Source organism: Homo sapiens, chromosome 4 (assembly GCF_000001405.40).
Source record: "Homo sapiens chromosome 4, GRCh38.p14 Primary Assembly".
Taxonomy (NCBI): domain Eukaryota; kingdom Metazoa; phylum Chordata; class Mammalia; order Primates; family Hominidae; genus Homo; species Homo sapiens.
Window position 1 is genome coordinate 8,529,605 of NC_000004.12, and position 18,753 is coordinate 8,548,357.

At 51.5% G+C, this 18,753-nt stretch overlaps 5 annotated features.

Annotated features, from left to right (window-relative positions):
* Positions 4,432–4,571: an enhancer, noted in NCBI's record as "active region_21297". NCBI's record gives its function as "activates an Ori minimal core promoter by ATAC-STARR-seq in GM12878 lymphoblastoid cells {active_cell/tissue: GM12878}" and the evidence as "EXISTENCE:reporter gene assay evidence [ECO:0000049][PMID:35858748]".
* Positions 4,652–4,791: an enhancer, noted in NCBI's record as "active region_21298". NCBI's record gives its function as "activates an Ori minimal core promoter by ATAC-STARR-seq in GM12878 lymphoblastoid cells {active_cell/tissue: GM12878}" and the evidence as "EXISTENCE:reporter gene assay evidence [ECO:0000049][PMID:35858748]".
* Positions 10,323–10,412: an enhancer, noted in NCBI's record as "active region_21299". NCBI's record gives its function as "activates an Ori minimal core promoter by ATAC-STARR-seq in GM12878 lymphoblastoid cells {active_cell/tissue: GM12878}" and the evidence as "EXISTENCE:reporter gene assay evidence [ECO:0000049][PMID:35858748]".
* Positions 10,683–10,842: an enhancer, noted in NCBI's record as "active region_21300". NCBI's record gives its function as "activates an Ori minimal core promoter by ATAC-STARR-seq in GM12878 lymphoblastoid cells {active_cell/tissue: GM12878}" and the evidence as "EXISTENCE:reporter gene assay evidence [ECO:0000049][PMID:35858748]".
* Positions 14,919–15,606: an enhancer, noted in NCBI's record as "H3K4me1 hESC enhancer chr4:8546250-8546937 (GRCh37/hg19 assembly coordinates)". NCBI's record gives its function as "activates a minimal SCP1, AML or CMV promoter by ChIP-STARR-seq in primed H9 embryonic stem cells {active_cell/tissue: H9 hESC(primed)}" and the evidence as "EXISTENCE:reporter gene assay evidence [ECO:0000049][PMID:30033119]".

Genomic DNA, 18,753 nt, shown 5'->3' on the forward strand with positions numbered 1-18,753 from the left:
AAGGTCACAAAGATTTACACCTATATTTCTTTCTAAGAGTTTTATAGTTTTAACTGTTACATTTAGGACTTGAGAGTTGTGAGTTCAACTTTGTACGTGATGTGAGGTAGGGATCCACATTCATTCTTCTTTGCATATGAGTGTCCTATTGTTCCATCACCATTTGTTAAAAAAAGATTTTTTCCTTATGAAATGATCTTGTTACCCTTGTCAAAATCATTTGAGCATAGCTGTATGGGTTTCTTTCTGGACTCTCAATTTTGTTGCCCAGGCTGGAGTGCAGTGGCTCAACCTCCAAGGCTCAAGCAGTCCTACAAACCTCAGCCTCCTGAGGAGCTAGAACTACAGGTGTGCACCACCACACCCAGCTAATTTTTTTTTTGAGACAGTCTTGCTCTGTTGCCCAGGTTGGAGTGAAGTGGCATGATCTCAGCTCACTGCAACCTCCACCTCCTGGGTTCAAGTGATTCTCCTACCTCAGCCTCCCGAGTAGCTGGGATTACAGATGTGCATCACTATGTTGGCTAATTTTTGTATTTTTTGTAGAGGCAGGATTTCACCATGTTGCCCAGGCTGGTCTCAAACTCCTGAGCTCAAGCAGTCCACCTGCCTTGGCCTCCCAAAGTGCTGGGATTACAGGTGTGAGCCACCACACTTGGCCCCAATGTTGTTCTTTTTTAAAGATTGTTTGGCTATTGGGCTTCGTTGCAATTTCACATGAATTTTAGCATCAGCTTATTCATTCTGTGCAACACACCATTGGAATTTTGATAGGAACCACACTGACTCTGTAGGCTGGTTTGAGGAGTATGGGCATCCTAATAAGTCTAGTCTTCTAATCTATGAATACAGAGTACCTTTCCATTTATTTAACTCTCCTTTAATTTCTTTCAACAATGTTTTGTAGTTTTCAGCGAATAAGTCTTGCACTTCTTTGGTTAAATTTATTGAGTATTTTATTCTTTTTGATGGTATTGATGCTATTTTTTTCTCAATTCCACTTTTGGGTTGTGTGTTGCTTGTGTACAGGAATCCTACTGACTTCATATATTGATCTTGCATCCTGCAAAATTGCTCAGCTGTTTATTGGCTCTAATACGATTTTTTGTAGCTTTTATAGGATTTTCTACATATAAGCTTGTGTCATCTCCAAATTGAGAGTTTTACTTCTCCCTTTACAATCTGCATGTCTTCTAATTATTTTTCTTGCCTAATTGCCCTTGCTAGGACCTCTAGTCAGTGTAAACCAAACTGAGAATGGGTGCCTTGCTTTCTACTTGCTCTCACTGGGAGAGCACCCAGTCTTTCACCATAGGGTACAAGTTAGTTGTGGATGTTTTGCAGACACTCTGTCAGGTTGGGGATGCTGCCTTCTATCCCTAGTTTGTTAAGAATTTTTATCAAGAATGGGCATTGGTGGCTGGGTGCGGTGGCTTACGCCTGTAATCCCAGCACTTTGGGAAGCTGAGGTGGGTGGACCACTTGAGATCAGGAGTTTGAGACCAGCCTGGCCAACATGGTGAAACCCTGTCTCTACTGAAAATACAAAAAATTAGTCAGGCATGGTGGTGTGCGCCTGTAATCCCAGCTACTTGGGAGGCTGAGATGGGAGAATTGCTTGAACCTGGTAGGCAGAGGTTTCAGTGAACCGAGATTGCACCATTGAACTCCAGCTTGGGCAACAAGAGCAAAACTCTATCTCAAATAATAATAATAATAATAATAATAATAATAATAATAATAATAATGAAGGGCAATTGGATTTTGTGTTCATTTTTAAATATTTTCTTCACTGCTGTTCATGTTGAATAATTGTATTGCTTTAGCTTTCTTTTCTTTTCTTTTTTTTTTTTTAAAGGGACAGTGCCCTGCTCTGTTGCCCAGGCTAGAGCACAGTGGCACAATCATAGCTTACTACAGCCTGGAACTTCTGGGATCAAGCGATTCTCCTGCCACAGCTTCCAGAGTAGCTGGGTCTACAGGTATACACCACTATACCAGGCTAATTTTTTTATTTTTATTTTTATTTTTATTTTGTAGAGATAGGGTCTTGCTGTGTTTCCCAGGCTGGTCTTAAACTCCTGGCCTTAAGCATCCTCCCACCTCAGCCTCTTGACGTATTGGGGTTGCAGGCATGAACCATCATGGCTGGCCCATTGGTCTATCTTCAAGTTCACTCACCCGTTCCCGTGTCATTTTTGTTCTACTATTGAGCCCATACAGTGGGCTTTCACATTTCTGATTACTTCATTTGAAAGTTCTGCATTTTTCATGTGGTTCTTTGTAGCTTCTGTTTCTTTGCTGACATCTCCTATCTTTCCTCTGAACTCAATAGTGTTCACCTCTTCCTCTTGGATTACTTCTGCAACACTTGCTTTAAAGTTTTCATAAGCGAATTCCAACATCCGGGTCATCCAGGTATTGGCGGCTGTTGATTGTCTTTTCCACATGAGCTGAGGGTTTCCTGGGACTTCCTGGGCCACATCATTATGGGTTACATGGTGGACATTTAAAATTTTATGTTGTTAGGCTGGGCAGTGGCTCATGCCTGTAATCCCAGCATTTTGGGATCTTAGGAGGCCAACGTGGACGGATCACCTGAGGTGCAAGGCTATTTCAAAATATGTCAAATAAATATATTTTGGGGTAAAACGCTTCAATTTCTTTCAGGGCCTGCTATCTGTCGTGTGATGCTGTACTAGAGTCCGGCTGGAATTTGATGCCTTGTTGCTACAAAAAGTCTGAAGGTCTCCTCTGTTTTAATGTTAATGCTGGTCAGCTGTGCCTGAATTCCAAAGGGGGGAGGGTAAAATGAAGCATGTCTGACCCCGCTTCCCATCACGGCCTGAACTGGTTTTTCAGGTTAACTTTGGAATGCCCTGTCCTCTCTTGGCAGAGAGGAGAGGCCCATTCAGTCAGTTGAGGGGCTTAACATTTAATTTTTAGTTTACATCATCCAGTGTGACCTAGGGCCACACCCCAAGATGGCAGAGTCCCCACAACCTGAATCCCTAAATGACTGAGTGGAGCAGAGCACCCTGCCCCCACCACCAGGAACATCAGCACTGGGGTGGGGGTGAGGGGAGGTGGGAGATAAATGTTCATCACATGAAGCTGCTGAAGTTTGGGGTATTTTTTGTTATATTATTCCAACCAAGTCACTGGCCATTCATTACAAAAAACATTTATAAAGAAAGAATAAAATATGAAAAGGAAGGAAGAAGAAAAAAGTAAAGTAAGCCTTAGTTAATCTTTTAGGTAATCTGTCAGGAATAGACATCGAAATAAAGATTTTAGTGTCTGGGCACAGGGGCACACATCTGAAATCCCAGCATTTTGGGGGCTGAGGACGGTGGATCACCTGAGGTCAGGAGTTCGAGACCAGCCTGGGGAACATGGCAAAACCCTGTCTCTACTAAAAATACAAAAAATTAGCTGGGCGTGGTGGCACATGCCTGTCATCCCAGCTACTCAGGAGGCTGAGGCAGGAGAATTGCTTGAACCCGGGAGGCCGAGGTTGCAGTGAACCAAGGTCATACCACTGTAGTCCAGTCTGGGCAATGTAGCGAGATCCTGTCTCAAAAAAAAAAATAAAATAAAATAAAATAAGGGAAATGTTGTGTTAATGTTAAATCAGCTCAATGTGTGTTAATGTTAAATCAGCTCAATGTGCTGAAATAAATTTGAAATTACATATCAAAGTGATAAACTGAAAAAAGGAGATAACCACACAAAACTTTGGGTAAAAATCAATGATTCCATGAATGTAAAAAGCATGAGAAAGCAAGAACAAGAATAAAAAGTGAAAATCCAGAGGCAGAACCTTAAACAACTGGAGGGCAGGTGCAGACATGAAAGTGAGAGGGGCAGGTGGGTCATTCCTGGAAGCACTGAGCATAAACCAGTGTCTGAACAACAGAAAAACCACCAATAGCAGATTTTCTTCTCTTCTCTTATTTTTATTTTTTATTTTTTTTGAGACAAGGTTTTGCTCTGTCACCCAGGCTGGAGTGCAGTGGTGCAATCTTGGATCACTGCAGCCTTGACATCCTGGGCTCAAGTGATCCTCCCGCATTGGCCTCCTGAGCAGCTGGGACTACAGGTGAGCACCACTACGCTTGGCTAATTTTTGTATGTTTTGTAGGGACAGGATTTTACTATGTTTCCCAGGCTGGTGTCAAACTCCTGGGCTCAAGTGATCCACTTGCCTCTGCCTCCCAAAGTGCTGGGATTACAGGTGTGCACCACCATGCCCCATCAATAGCATATTTTCAAAGAATTAAATGAAAGATCCAGGGTAAAGGGAAATAAGAAAGGAACACCAACAGCAGCAGGGGTGGAAGACCTGAACTAGAAGGTGAAATAGACAGACTGTGTCTACGCCAAAAAAAGAAAACAGCTCGCACCCTCTTCATGAAGGCAACAGCACCTTTTATATACAGTCACTGGAGCCATACCAGGACGCAGGGACATGGAGTCAAAGTGTCCTCTGGGAGGCCATAGCCCGTCACCACAGCAGGATGGGTTTGCTTGGTCCTTAGCTGGCTAGTGGCCTCAGGCAGGGGTGGAAGGAGGCAGGGCTGGCTCGGCCATAGACGAACAGGGCCCTAGGCTTGGGGTTTAGTGCCCTGGAGTTGGCAGTTTATCTTTGAATCTGTGTCTTGTGTGTAAAGTCTAAGGGAGAGTGGAGCATGTGCTGGGGACTTGGAGCCTGTAAACTGAAACTAAAATTCTAAGCTCCCCAGCTGACTGAATGGTCCCTCCTCTTGGCCAGGGGAATTCCAACGTAAACCTGAAAAACTAGTTCAGGCCAAGATAGAAGTGGGTTGGACACGCCTCATTATACCCCCTCCCTTTGGAGTTTCAACATGACTGACCAGCATTAACATGAAAACAGAGATCCTGAGGCTGACCAAACAGACTCCTTGTAGCAATAAGATACCAAATTCCAACCTGACTCTAGTATAGCATCACATGACAGATAGCAGGCCCTGAAAGAGATCGAAGCAGTTTACCCCCAGAATGTACCTATGTTGAAATGGCCCTGCAAATTTGTCTCTTACTGGGAAAACCTACAGTCTGTAGAGAATCCTTTTCCCTTTCCAGTCTTTTCCTGATCCAGGAGAGAGTTAACTAAGGAGAGTCTGACACATAACAGGAACCTTGGCTTCCACATTCCCCCTTCTCTTAACAACAAACATTTCCTTCTGTTGACTTCAACTTTTCAGGCAGAGCTTAACCCTGTCAGCCACTTGCCATCAGGAAATCTCTAAATCCACCTATGACCTGTGTATTTGTCTGTTTTCACACGGCTATAAAGAAATATTCAAGACTGGGTAATTTATAAAGGAAGGACGTTTAATTGGCTCACAACTCCACATGGCTTGGGAAGCCTCAGGAAACTTACAATCATGGTCAAAGGTGAAGGGGAAGCAAGGGCCTTCTTCACATGGCGGCAGGAGAGAGAAGGGTGTGTGAAGGAGGAACTGTCAAACACTTATAAAACCATCAGATCTTATGAGAACTCCCTCACTGTCGTGAGAACAGCATGGGGGAAACCATCCCCATGATCCATTCACCTCCCACCTGGTCCCTCCTTAGACACATGGGAATTAATTATGGGGATTACAATTCAAGATGACATTTGGGTGGGGACACAGAGCCAAACCATATCAAGCTGGAAGCCCCTACTTCAAGATGTCCCACCTTTCTAGGCTGAACCAATGTGCACCTTACGTGTATTGATTTTTGTCTCTGCCTGTAATTTCTCTCCTTCTAAAATATGTAAAATCAAGCTGTAACCCAACCGCCTCGGGCACCTGTTCTCAGGACCTCCTGAGACTGTGCCTTTGGCCATGGTCACTCATAGTTGGCTCAGAATAAATCCCTTCACATATTTTACACAGTTTGACTCTTTTTTATTGCCAAGCCTCTGTTTATAGGTTGATACTTGTCCCATGCCTCCTGCCCTCACCTGACAATCACTGCTGCCCTCTGCCCTGGGGCCTGGGTTCAGGGGCAGGGAAGTCAGAGTTGGGATCAGGTGCCTGGCATGTTGAATTGCACAGCAGGGTCCTGAGTTCCTGTCTGCATCTGTCCTCACCCTGTAAGCATCCATGTCCAAGGGAGAGTGACATCAAATAGCAAATTAAAACACCATGACAACTTTAGAGAGAGAGAGAGAGAGATAACTCTGAAGGAAGGATAAAGATTTCCTCCTGCTTTTTGAACAGGAGGCTGTGTGTTTTCATTTTGCCCAGGGTTCTGGGCCTACAGGAAGGCCCCCGAGAGAGCTCTTACAGGAAGCCCCCTGGGTTTTCTCTCCTCCCTTGACTGAGCTCCCCACTGCAGACCCCAGCCAAAGGACCATGGCTGGCCAAAACCAAGGTCCCAGCAATTCAGCAGCAGCCCTGGCAGGCCCTGGCGGGTGATGCCAGCTGGCTCGGCTGCTTCTTCCAGGGATGTGTCTGTATTTTGTCATCCCTCTAGACCATGCACTCTTGGAGACTAAAGACCACGACTCTTAGCCATTTATTCTGCAAGTGTGTGTTAAGCAGCTTCTTTGGGGCAAGCCCTGTGCTTGGCTTGTTGAGGGTAGAGCTGTAAACCAGGGAAATAGGCCCTGTTCTTACGGGGAGGGTAGGCATCAAGCTGAAAGTAGCCCCCCAAGTCCTCCAGTTGCCTGTGAAGGAATAAAGTCTACAAAGGAAAGGAGTCATTTCTGTGTCCCCCACAAACCCAGAGCATGCAGTAGTTGTGCCTGGAACGGCTGCATGGAAACGTGGAAAGAGTGGCTAATCAGAGCCAAGAGAAATGGCACCAGGGCCAAGGACAGGGTCACCATCACCCTGTCCTTGGGCGATGGGACACCCCATGGGAGAAGGGGGTGATTTTAGAAACCAGCACAACTGTCCACTATGGCTGGGGCTTATCCTCGGGTTGGCAGCACGCGAGTGCCTATTCACGCATGGGCCTCCAACACCATTCCAAGGGAGGCATGGGAGCAAGGCTGGCCTTATCTCACCCTGGGTGCCCCACATCCAGCACAGTCCCCAGGAACCAGCTCCCACTGAACACGTGTGGGATAAAGAAGTGGCAGGAACTAAACCGAGGGCTGGTACTGACTGAGGGAAGGCAGACAGGGCAGGGGCCAGACAGGCTCGGCACCCATCCTTTGCTGCCTCAGTCAGGCACCTGCTGAGCCATGGGGGGTAAATGCTCTGCACCTCACTTTTCTCATTAATGAGGGTAATAGAATTTTTGTCCCAGATTTGCTGTAGGATCAAGGAAAGGACATCAGTTGTCTGGCCCCATGTTATAAGATCAAGTCCCCTTCTCCATCCAGGTCTTTCTGGCACACACAAGTACTGGGGGACGAAGGGGAGGAGGGGCCATCACCTCTGGCCGGGACCTGTTTCATATCTAGGAAAGGTCCAGTGATGGAGACAGGAAGGGCAGTCTGGTGGAAGGCCCAGCCTGAGCAAAGGCTGAGAGGCAGGAAAGTACAGGTATTCCTGGGACGCAGAGGCAGCACAGCTGCCTGGGAGATCTGCTTGTGCTGGTGGAGCTGGGGCCTTAGCTCAGCTCTGCTGACTCTCGGGAGATCCTTCCAGAACACTGACCATCCACCCACCCTTCCCACGCTTGCTCAGGTTGGTTTAGCCGAGCCGAGTGTAATGTAATCGGTTGCAGAGGACAAAGGGAGAGTTGGGGCCAAGAAGAGCTCTCATCCTTCCTGTGATTGCTGAAGTCTGGCACACGTTCAAACTGCGGAATGACTCAATCGAAAAGTGAAAGTGGCAGAGTGAGGAGGTCAGTGGCAATGGTTTCACAGAGACTCCTGGACCAGGAACCAGGCTGCCTGCTTCCAGCCCCTCCATTCATTCTGTCTGTCCACCTGCAGACCTTTTGTCACGCCCCATGCTCCATCGCCACTGCTCTTAGTCAGGCATGGGATCTGGGAGCTGAGACCCTCCTAGGGCCTGAAGACATGTTCTTTCCTGATAGGAGAAGGCTGTCAGGGGAAAGGGGAGCTGAGACCCTCCTAGGGCCTGAAGACATGTTCTTTCCTGATAGGAGAAGGCTGTCAGGGGAAAGGGGAGCTGAGACCCTCCTAGGGCCTGAAGACATGTTCTTTCCTAATAGGAGAAGGCTGTCAGCGGGGCTGGGAGCTGAGAACCTCCTAGGGGCTGAAGACCTGTCTTTTCCTGATAGAAGGAAGCTGTCAGGGGAGCTGAGAGAACCTCGGCAGGTGGGGTGAGGTGGGGTCTTGGCTTGTAGGAAGGGCAAATTCTCAGGTGACATGTCCCCTGAGCTGGAGGTCATTGTGGATCAGACCCCGGCCCAATTGCCCAGGGCCAAGCCCTGCCTGGGTGTCAGCATCATTAGCCACGTGTTTCTGGATACCAGGAGGAATGTTCCAGAGACCCCAGAAAAGGCCTCTTCTTGCTCAGACTGGCTCTTTATTGCCTTTAATCTGGCAAACCTCAGGACAAACCTTCCCCCAAGGCCTTGTGGGATGGAAATGGGGAAGACAAAACCCTGGGTTTACAGCCCTGGCCTCCTGGGATGGACTAGATTTGGGAGGCCCAGGGAGAGAAGACGTGGTGGTGAGAGCAGAGGGCGGCATCCAGGGCGCATGCAGGGCAGGTCTGCAGTCAGGCGTGGGGTGAGGATGCAGCTTGAGCAGCAGTGGGGACAGAAGTGGGGAATCTGAGGCCAGGTTGGGTCTGATCCGAGGGCAGTGGGAAGCCACCTGAAGTTCTTGAGTGAGGAAGTTGAGATCCAGAAACAACCTTAGTCCCTTGGGCCCATCAGAGTTCTTCACTTACAAGTAACGGAAGCTGACCCTGGCCGACTGGAGCCAACGAAGAAGGTACTGAGAGCACTTGGAGCCCTTGCAGGGGCGAGGGAGATGCTGCGGGACCAGGGTCTGAAGACAGCAGAGTGAGAGCAGGGCCCCAGGGAGGCAGGAGGGCTGGAGTGTGACTTCTGCGTTCTGTGTTCTCTGCCTCCAGATTGTGCTCCAGGGAGGGAGCACGGGGGACCAGGGGGAGTTTTGTGTGCCCCTCCCAGCCAGGCCAGTGGAGGCTCACTGATATCTCATCAAGACTGTGGGTGATGATAAGGGATGAGTTCCCAAGGAGATGTCTGTGGTCCCAGCAAATATGGTTGGATGTGGGGCAGGCAGAAGGGGGAGTGCTCACGCCAGTCCTCATCCTCACCCCAGAGAGGCAAGTGGCTTGCTCAAGGACACAGGTGAGTCAGTGGCCAAACCGTGCCAAGTGGCCAGCTCACTGGTGACTCAGGCCTCTGTCTTCCTCTGCCAGTGGGTCATGGGATGAGTTGAAGACAACGTTTGATGAAAACAAAACTTCTGGGGATGTATAAGATGGGTACTGAGAGCAGGTGGGACCAGACAGAAGGAAGAATGGCTCCAGGACATGGCCATGGGCTCCGCAGTGGTGTAGATGGGTTCCAACCCCAGCACGGCCACTTGCTGGCGGTGTGGGACTTCACACACATTGCAGAACCTCTTTGATCCTCTCTCTAACTTCCCTGAGGGGCATGGTAACTGTACAGGGCCATCGTGAGCATCAGAAAGGATGACGTATGACGTGCCTGGCATGCAGTCCGGCCTGATAGGTGTGAGTTCCTTCTGGGTCCCTGCCACCAGGGGAGCTGGAAGGAGCCCCAGAGTGAAGTCATGAGCACTGAATTCAATTCCTGGCGGCTTTGCTGAAATTCGGCTCCAACCTGTCCTGGCTCCCAGACCACCAGCAGCTGTGCCACACAGTGTCTACGGCCTGAGACACACTCATCTGCCATCCCCAGCATCACGTCAGCACCACGGTGTCCTTGCTATACTGAGGGGTCCCCCATCTGTCCCTCCTACTCAATGGGAGCCCCTTGAGGTCAGAGATCACCTGTGGTCACTTTTTGCCACCAGCACCCAGGAAGGGACCCAGCATCACCAGTGACGGGTGGATGATGGATGAAGATGAAGCAGTGAATGTTCCACTGCAGAAGAGCCCTGGCAAGCTCCAGTGCCAAGCTCCTCTGTGCACACAGAGGGTAGTGACTGAGCTGCCTTAAGCCTGACATGGGATGCCCTAGTGCCCGGGGGTTTCTAGCTGCCCCTAGTCCTGTTTGCACCAAAGGAGTATGTGTAGGATTGCACAGGAGCCATCACCTGCTTGGCACCTCGGTCTTTCTTTCACCAGAGGAGAAGGAAGTGAGGAGAAGGCTTTGGGGTCCCATGAGGCTGGGTTCTTGGGGCATCACCTGCTCTCGAGTGTTCTGCAGAGCAGACTCACTAGCCCAGTGCACATCACTCTGCCACTCTCAAGAGTGTCCGGGGCATACCGCATCCACCTAGAGATGCTGGGGATTTCCCAGTGAGATTTGCTGCCACATGGAAAATTCTCTCTGCTCTTACAAGAACAGGCTCATTGATAATGTTTGATTGAGGGGGCTTTTCCTACATTCAAAATAATGCTCATTTACTGTCAGATATTTGGAAACTACAGAAAAACACTGTGAGGAGAGTATGAATTGCCTTTCAAAGAGAAAGTAACTTCCTGCCCTGTCTCTGGGTATGCAGAGGCATAGAGACACCCACACTCCCATGAGCTCAGCTCGTGCACACACAGGACCAGGAAGCCGGGGCGGCCTGGGTGGCTGTCTCGCTTCTTGCTTCCCTTTAACTCAATGTTGGATCCTGAACATGCCGTCGCACTCCTCGCCTGCGATGAAGGCCTCTGCCTCTGTGGTTTTATTTGGTTTCAGAGTCAGCACATCCATCTCTCTGCTCCCAAACAAGAAAAAACAACACAGTAACAGCCGGTTACAGAATGCCAGGAGTTCTCAGAGTCCTGCGCCTTCTTGCACAATCCTCTCAGCAGCCCTGGGAAAGATGGTGGCTATTATCCCCGTCTTACAGAGGAGGAAACTGAGGCACAGAGAGGTTCCGGTGGGGCAGGGGCGGGGCCTGGGGCTGTGGGCACCATGTGTGTCACCTCCCCCGTGTGATCCATCTGTCCCTTTCTAAGGTACAGAAGCCCAGAATTTCAGACTTGATAGCATCTGGACCACGTTTCTAGGCTGCCGAACAAAACACCACCAGAGTGGCTTCAAACAGCAGATGTGTGTTCTGGGGGCCGGAAGTCTGGGATCCAGCTGCCAGCTGGGTTGGTTCATTGTAGAGGCCTTCAGGAAAATCCATTTCACGCCTCTCCCAGCCTCTGGCGGCCCCAGGCATTCCCCGGCTTGTGGCCGCATCCCTGTACTCCGCCTGTGGGTTCCCAGGGCCTCCCCACTGCGGGCCTGCTTCTCTTCTCCAAGCATCTTCCCCAGTTGGGCCCTGGACTCAGTGGCACTGGCCACTGGATTTAGGGCTCACTTGGACAATTCAGCAGGATCTCATCTCAAGATCCTTAAATTAATTGTGCTAAGAGCTTTTTCCAAAGATGGTGACATTTGGGCCCCCATTCACTCAAAGTCCCCTGGCTGAAGCCACCCCTTACAGCAGGGAAGCTGAGGCACGGGGTGGGGAGGGCCTGCCCAGGTGCCCGGCCCCGACTCCTTGCTCGGGGTCTTCAGCTTGAGTCGCCTGCCATCCTAGGCTGCCAGAGACTCCAGCACCCCACTCCAGAGACTGCGTCACGCTGTGGCCCTCAGCTCAAGGATCACCCATTCGAAAGCCCACTTTTGAGCACCCACTGCAGTGACTTGGGGTACAAATCACCCCTCATCCAGTAACCCTGCCCATCTGAGAGCTGTCTTCCCAATATGCCGGTTCACATGGACTCAGGTCCCTGCCTCTATTTTGTGAGGTTGGAGCACAAAAATGATACAGGGCTCTTATTTTTTATTTTTGAGAAGAGGTCTCACTCTGTGACTCAGGCTGGAGTGCCGTGGTGTGATCACAGCTCACTGCAACCTCAAATCCCAGGCTCAAGTGATCCTCCCACCTCAGGCTCCCAAGTAGCTGGGACCACAGGTACACACCACACCAGGCTAAGTTTTGTATTTTTTGTGGAGATGGGGTTTTGCCATGTTGCCCAGGCCTGGTCTTGAACTACTGGGCTCAAGTGATCCTCCTGACTTGACCTCCCAAAGTGTTGAGATTATAGGCATGAGCCACTGTGCCTGGCCAGAGCTCACTTTTATGGGGTCATAGAAAAGGGGGAGTGTTGGGAATGAAAAGGGAAGCATGACAGATGGCCTCATCCATTCATTCTTACACTCAGAAATCTCACTGGACATCCGGGTGTGGTGGCGCAGTGAGATGAGATCGCACCACTGCACTCCAGCCTGGGTGACAGTGAGACTCTATCAAAAAAAAAATTAATTTTCACTGGCAGCCCGCTCTGTGCCCACTGGGGATGCAGTGGAAGATAAGATGGGCCATGCCTGCTCTCTCGTGTTTGGGGTGACAGAGTAACCAGCTGAACATGCTTTACGATGATTTCAATAGTGGCCACAACATGATGAAATCAAGGTGATCCAATGGATGAGGGTGGCCGGGAGAGGTGCGGGTGCTCAAAAGTGGGCTTTCGAATGGGTGATCCTTGAGCTGAGGGCCACAGCGTGACGCAGTGTGGCCACATGGGGAATCAAAGGGAGGCAGTGCGTGCTAGCAAGAGGCACAGCGGGTGACAAGGCCCTGCAGCAGAAAGGAGAAACAGCCAGGCAGTGTGACCAGAGCCTCATGGAAGACGGAGAGGCAGCAGAGCTGGGCTGAAAGGTTCTAGGAGGAGGCTTTTCCAGGATATCAGCCTGACTGCGGTATCTGTTAGGTTGACATTCTGGCTCTCTGCCCTGGCCTTGAGGTGCTGGCCTTGAGGTCCTGGGAGAAGGATGGACACCCCCAGATAAGTGTGGGGGTCCCAGAGCTGCAGGGACGGTGGCTCGACTTCATGAGGGAATTGCAAATCTGCACAGAGCAGCTCCGGGCCCTTCCGCTCCTGGGTGCAAGTGCGTGTGCATGCGCACACATGTGTGTCTGTGTTTGGAGATTCCCAGCTGACCAGGTGATTGTGCACAAGGCCCTGTGTTCTGAATGGAGAGGGGCAAAGCAGCCTGGAATGGTCTGGAGCAGTGGGATGGCACTCCCTGCAGAGGGAATAGTTTGCATCCTGCACACCTGGGCCCTGAGTGGTGACCAAGCAAAGCACTTTCATTACCAGCATCTGGAACACAGAGCCTGCCAAGTGCAGCGATCATAAGTGCAGTGGCACGCAGCTGAGGACTGGCGTTTAGAGCAGTGTCTGTATAGCTGAGCTTCTCAGAGCACCAGGAGGTCTCACGCACGCACTTCCTTGGGCTCTGAGGTCATGAGTTCCTTCATGCATTTAGCACTGAGTCAGGCTGGTGGTGTGCAAGGCTGTGGGGACAAAGGGACAAAACATGGACCCTGCCTGCATGGGTTGGCAGCCCTGGACAGGGAGTGGCCAGTGTGGTGAGTCCCAGCCCAGAAGTGTGAGGCTGTGATGGACACTACACTGGGGTTCTTCCCCCAGGCCCCTGGAGCTGGTACAGGCAGGGCACACAGGCCATGAACCGCAGGATGCGTGGGGAGGTGCCTCCGCATCCAAACCACCCACTTCCCCGCCCCTGCCCTGCCAAGGCACCAGGAGAGCCACTTTCCTCCCCTCCTGGACTGTGGGTCCCTTGGGGAAGTGTCACTGATTAAAGCATGAGGCGATGGGCTTCTGCGACCTCATGGCTGTCCCCACTGCCCTGACCCCAGCCTGCGAAGCAGCCCAGGGCAGAAGCATCGGCATTCCTGTCTAGCACCCGGCTCCTGTTAACCTGGATGTCCACCTGTCATTCCGGTTCTTCCCCTCGATGACCCTGTTCACACCCTAGGGTGCAGGCCCTTTCTCTGGAAGGCCTTGGGTTTCTTATGCACCTTGCACCTCCTTTGCGAGCCCCCAGCTTGGCAAGGGATAGTATTGGGGTCTACCTTGGGGGACTGATAGGGTTAGGCTTTGTGTCCCCACCCAAATCTCATCTTGAATTATAATCCCCATAATTCCTATAATCCCCAAAATTCCTATAATCCCCACATGTCAAGGGACAGACCAGGTGGAGGTGGTTGGATCATGGGGGCGGTTTCCCCCATGCTGGTCTCGTGATATTGAGTGAGTTCTCGTGATATTGAGTGAGTTCTCGTGATATTGAGTGAGTTCTCGTGAGATCTGATGTTTTTATATGGGGCTCTTCCCCCTTTGCTCAGCACTTCCTCCTGCCGCCTTGTGAGGAAGTTGTCTTTATTCCCCTTCGCCTTCCACCATGACTGTAAGTTTCCTGAGGCCTCCCCACCAATGCTAAATTGTGAGTCAATTAAGCCTCTTTCTTTATAAATTACGCAGTCTCCGGCAGTTCTTTATAGCAGTGTGAGAACGGACTAATACAGGGACCTAAAAGGTTCTATTGCACCCCTCCCACAGGGCAGGAGGTAAACAGCACCCACCTCTCCATTACCCAGGAAGCCTGCTCAGGTGACTTGAGAGGGCAAAGCTTCAAGGTGACTTTCCATCCCTTTCTGCACAGAAGCAGCTGCTGCTTCCATGGTTTAAAATAAACAGTCTCAGCCTTAACACATCTCAGGCTCCGTTCCTGACCTGGGAAAGCAGGTGTGGCCCCTGTCCTCCTGGAGTCTGGCAGTAAGAGGAGAGCTAAACCCACCATTGTGAATTGTGCTGCCAACAGCCCACATCACACAGGCCATGTGCTGGAGTGGGGGAAAGAGGATGTCTCTGGAGAGCCTGTGTTGGGGCTCCAACAGACCTGGAGGGTCAGGAAGTGAGGTGTCACCTGAGGCCTGGAAGGAGACCCAGCATAGCTAGGCAGGGAGCAGTTAGTAGGCTCATGATGGGAACAGCAAGTGCAAAGGTCCTGTGGTTGGGGGGGGCTGTGGCAGGAATGGGAGTGGGGGCAGAGAGGGGAACAGGGCCTGGTCAGATGGAGCCTCATAAGCCCCGCGGTGGGGTTTGGATCTTATAAAAGCCACAGAGAATCCTTGATGGGATTTAAGAATAGAAGGAGTGAGGCCGGGTGCATATCTAGAGAAATTCTTGGGAGGCGTGGGGGACGGAACCTGAGGCATTTAACACAAGAAGGGCCTGGTGCTGCTTGGGGGCACTGAGGAGGGAGCGTTCAGGGCGATTCTCCGGGTTGGACTCTGGGTGCCTAGGTGGGTGGAGGTGCGCAGTCATGGTGGGGGACGGGGGACTCTTCGCTCCCAGATCCTGGTCAGCACCGCCTTGGTCAGGCAGCCTGGCGATGACGCTGCTCTGCGTGACTGTCCCCAGTGTTATTTTCCCCAGGGCAGTTGGCTTGCACTTCCTGCCCCACTTACATGGGAGTGGAGCTGAGCGTGTCCCCGGCAGTGGGGGCACCAGGGTCTGCAGGACGCGGGGCTGGAATTGGTCCTGGCAGCCCCAGGTCGGTGGCAAAGAGCAATAACTGCTTCCCAAAGGGCTGCTGGAGATTCCTCGAACGCCTAGAGAGCAAACCGCGGCCCCACGGCTTCCTGTGATGGCTGCTCCCTTAGGACTTTTCCCAGCTGCTTGCGGGATTGGCCACATCCGGACTCCACCAGGGCCTTGACCGCGCCCGCATCTGCTGTGTCTCCCAGGACTACAGCAACGGCCTCGCTGAGGTCCTCTGAGCCTCCCCTGCTTTGTTAAAGCCCCCTGAAGCTTTGCATCTCTGGAGGAAGAACTAAAACTCCGTGACCTCGCTTCCTGGGGCGCCCCCTCCCCGGCCTGCCCACCATGGCCACTTGCTATTCCTCGCCCTAACCAGGCACATGGCCATCCCAGGGTGTCCCCAACGGGGGTCCTTCTCCTCCCCGGACAGCCCCGTGCTGTCTCTCGATTCCTCTGTTCTCTGTTCGACATCACCTTCTCGGCAAAGCCATCCCAGACCTCCCTTTTAGAACAGCCCCCTACTCACTCTACCTGCTTCCTTGAGGACCGCAGCTTCCCCACCCTCCCCACTGAAACTCCGCCTTGTCCCCCAGGTGGCCAGGACTTGCTGGGCATTCCTGGCAGGAGACACAGCCACCCCTCATGAAATGCATTCCGTCCTCCCCTTGTGTTCCCCACCTTCCTTTTGGCCTGCCCAACATGCCTTTCCTTCCAGGAATATTTATTTTTCCAGCCTAATCTTCCCTTCCAGGGGTGGGGTAAGAGCAGGACTCTGCGGCTAATGGGATAACACACCTGTGTGGACTCCTCCCACCTCCGTGTGCTGAAGCTGAGTCCTCGTTTAGCCAAAAAGTGATGGGGGCAGGGGTCTCAATCAGTAGAGGCTCACAAGCCAAAGTGTGAGGACACGCCTAAGGAAAACACACGTCCCAGGAGCATCTGTGACCTGCGCGTTCCAAAGAAGGTTTTGGGAACTCAGTATTTAAGGGGAAGGGAGTACTTAAGGAGAGGGAAGGCGGGAGGGGTAGGCAGTGAGGCAGATGCTGACATTCTTGTGAGACTTTGAGTAAATGTACATTTTATGTAAGATAAGGTGAACAAGTGAAGGGAAGGGGGAGAGGGGACAGCTGTGCATCCGGCTCGGGACAGGTGGAGAGGTGACTTCTGATCTTGTCCTTCTGTACCTGGAAAGATACGCTTGCAGTCCATAGGCTGAACGGTGGCCTCCTAAAGATACATCCACATCCCAGAACCTGTGGCCGCGACCTCATTTGGAAAAGGATCTTTGCAGATGTGATGAGACTGATTTGGGGCTCCAAAATTACTAAGTTGAAGGGAAAAGTCAAGCTGGGAACTGCTTAGGGCCAACCTGCCTCCCACTCTACTCAAAGTCACCCCTCTGCTCACTGAGATAAATGCAGATCTGAGTCCTCCTTTGGAGAGGCTGATCAGAAACTCAAAAGACTGCAGCCATTTGTCTCTTATCCACGTACAACCTGGAAGGCTCCTTCCCATTTGGAGTCTTCCCGCCTTTCCAGACTGAACCAATATTCATCTTGCAGATGTCGATCAATGTCTTGTGTCTCCCTAAAATCTATAAAACCAAACTGTGCTCTGATCACCTTAGACACATATCATCAGGACCTCCTGAGGCTGTGTTACGGGCACACATCCTCAACCTTGGCATAATAAACCTTCTGAAGTAACTGAGACCTGTCTCAGATTTTCAGGATGATCTGGTGAACGCTAAATCCTATGGCAAGTGTTCTCATGAGAGACAGAAAAGAAGGCACCAACACAGAGGGAGGAGGAGGCCACACACGGAGTCGGAGGCAGGGAGTGGAGCCGTGTGGCCACAGCCAAGAGACGTCTGGGACTACCAGGAGCAGGGAGAGGCGGGAAGGAGCCTGCCCGCAGAGGCTTCACGGGAGCCAGCCCTGCCATACCTTGGTTTCTGACTCCTGGCTTACTGAGCTGTGAGAGGATGGTGGTTTTAATCATCTCTCACACCCCCTCTTGGGGTAAGTTGTTTGGGAACTCAGGGTGTGGAAGAGGAGGCCAGGCGAAGACCCTGGAAAGGGCACAGAGAGGGGGCCTCTGAGCTTCCATGAGGACATGGAGGCTGGGACTCCATACACGGGTCCTGCGACCTCAGGTTCACCGCATCTCTTTCCTTACCTGTAAAATGGGTGAATGGCGCCCTCTTTGGCCATTTTGAGGATTTGGTAGCCTGTTGCAAACCAAAATAAAATTCCAAGATCCCCCAACCATCTGAATGGACTTCCTCCTCGGCCAGGCTGCTCTAAAGTTTAACCTGAAAGACTGGTTCAGGCCATGAGAGGAAGTGGGGGTCAAACGTGCCTCGTTGTACCCTCCCTGAACGGCTCCTAAGATCTGCACTTGAGATATTTCGTAGACCCTGAACTTGATGGATCAACTGGCGCCACCCAGTTCAATAAACTAGCTCATCTGATCTTGTGGCCCCCACCCAGGAACTGACTCAGCACTACAAGACAGCCTCCACTCCCAATGACTTCACCCCTGACCAGTCAGCACTCCTGGCTCACTGGCTTCCCCCGACTCACCGAGTTATCCTTAAAAACTCTGCACCCTGAATGCTCAGGGAGACTGATCTGAGTAATAAAACTCTGGTCTCCCGCACAGCTGGCCCTGCATGAAATACTCTTTCTCTTTTCATTCCCCTGTCTTGATGAATCAGGTCTGTCTAGGCAGCAGGCAAGGTGAACCCCTTGGGCGGTTACACTGAAAGCCTCTATTTCCTCACCTGTGAAATGGGCTTGTGCCTTTTCTTGGGCTGAGATGGCCAATGAGGTGGCGTTGAGGCTAGTGTCTGGCCCAGGGCCTAGCAGAGCCTGCAGGCTCTCAGAGCAGGGGAGTCTCATTCCCATGAGATCAGGAGGAGGACAAGGAAAAGCAGGGACTCCCTCTGGGGGCAGCGGGACCTGCCCTGTGAGCTTCCTTGTCCTCTAGCTGCATGGCCCCTGGAGGTGTCTAGGACATGCCATGGTTTAGACAGGCTCCCTAGAGGCAACTGCATGACTGGTGCCACACACACGTTAGGCCCCACACATGGAGATGGGGGGCAGAGGGCGCATCTGGACACACACCCTGGGGCTGTCTGGGGTGGGCCCAACAAGGCTTGGTGTTTGTCTTCTGTCTCCCACAGGCAGTGGTTGCCGGGGTCGGCCGCTGCCTTAGGGCAGATTGTTACACGCTCAGGAATGTCTTGCGCAGGCTGATGCTATGCATCAACTCACTGGGGCTTGGGGGTGCCCAGGTAGCTGCCGCTGCA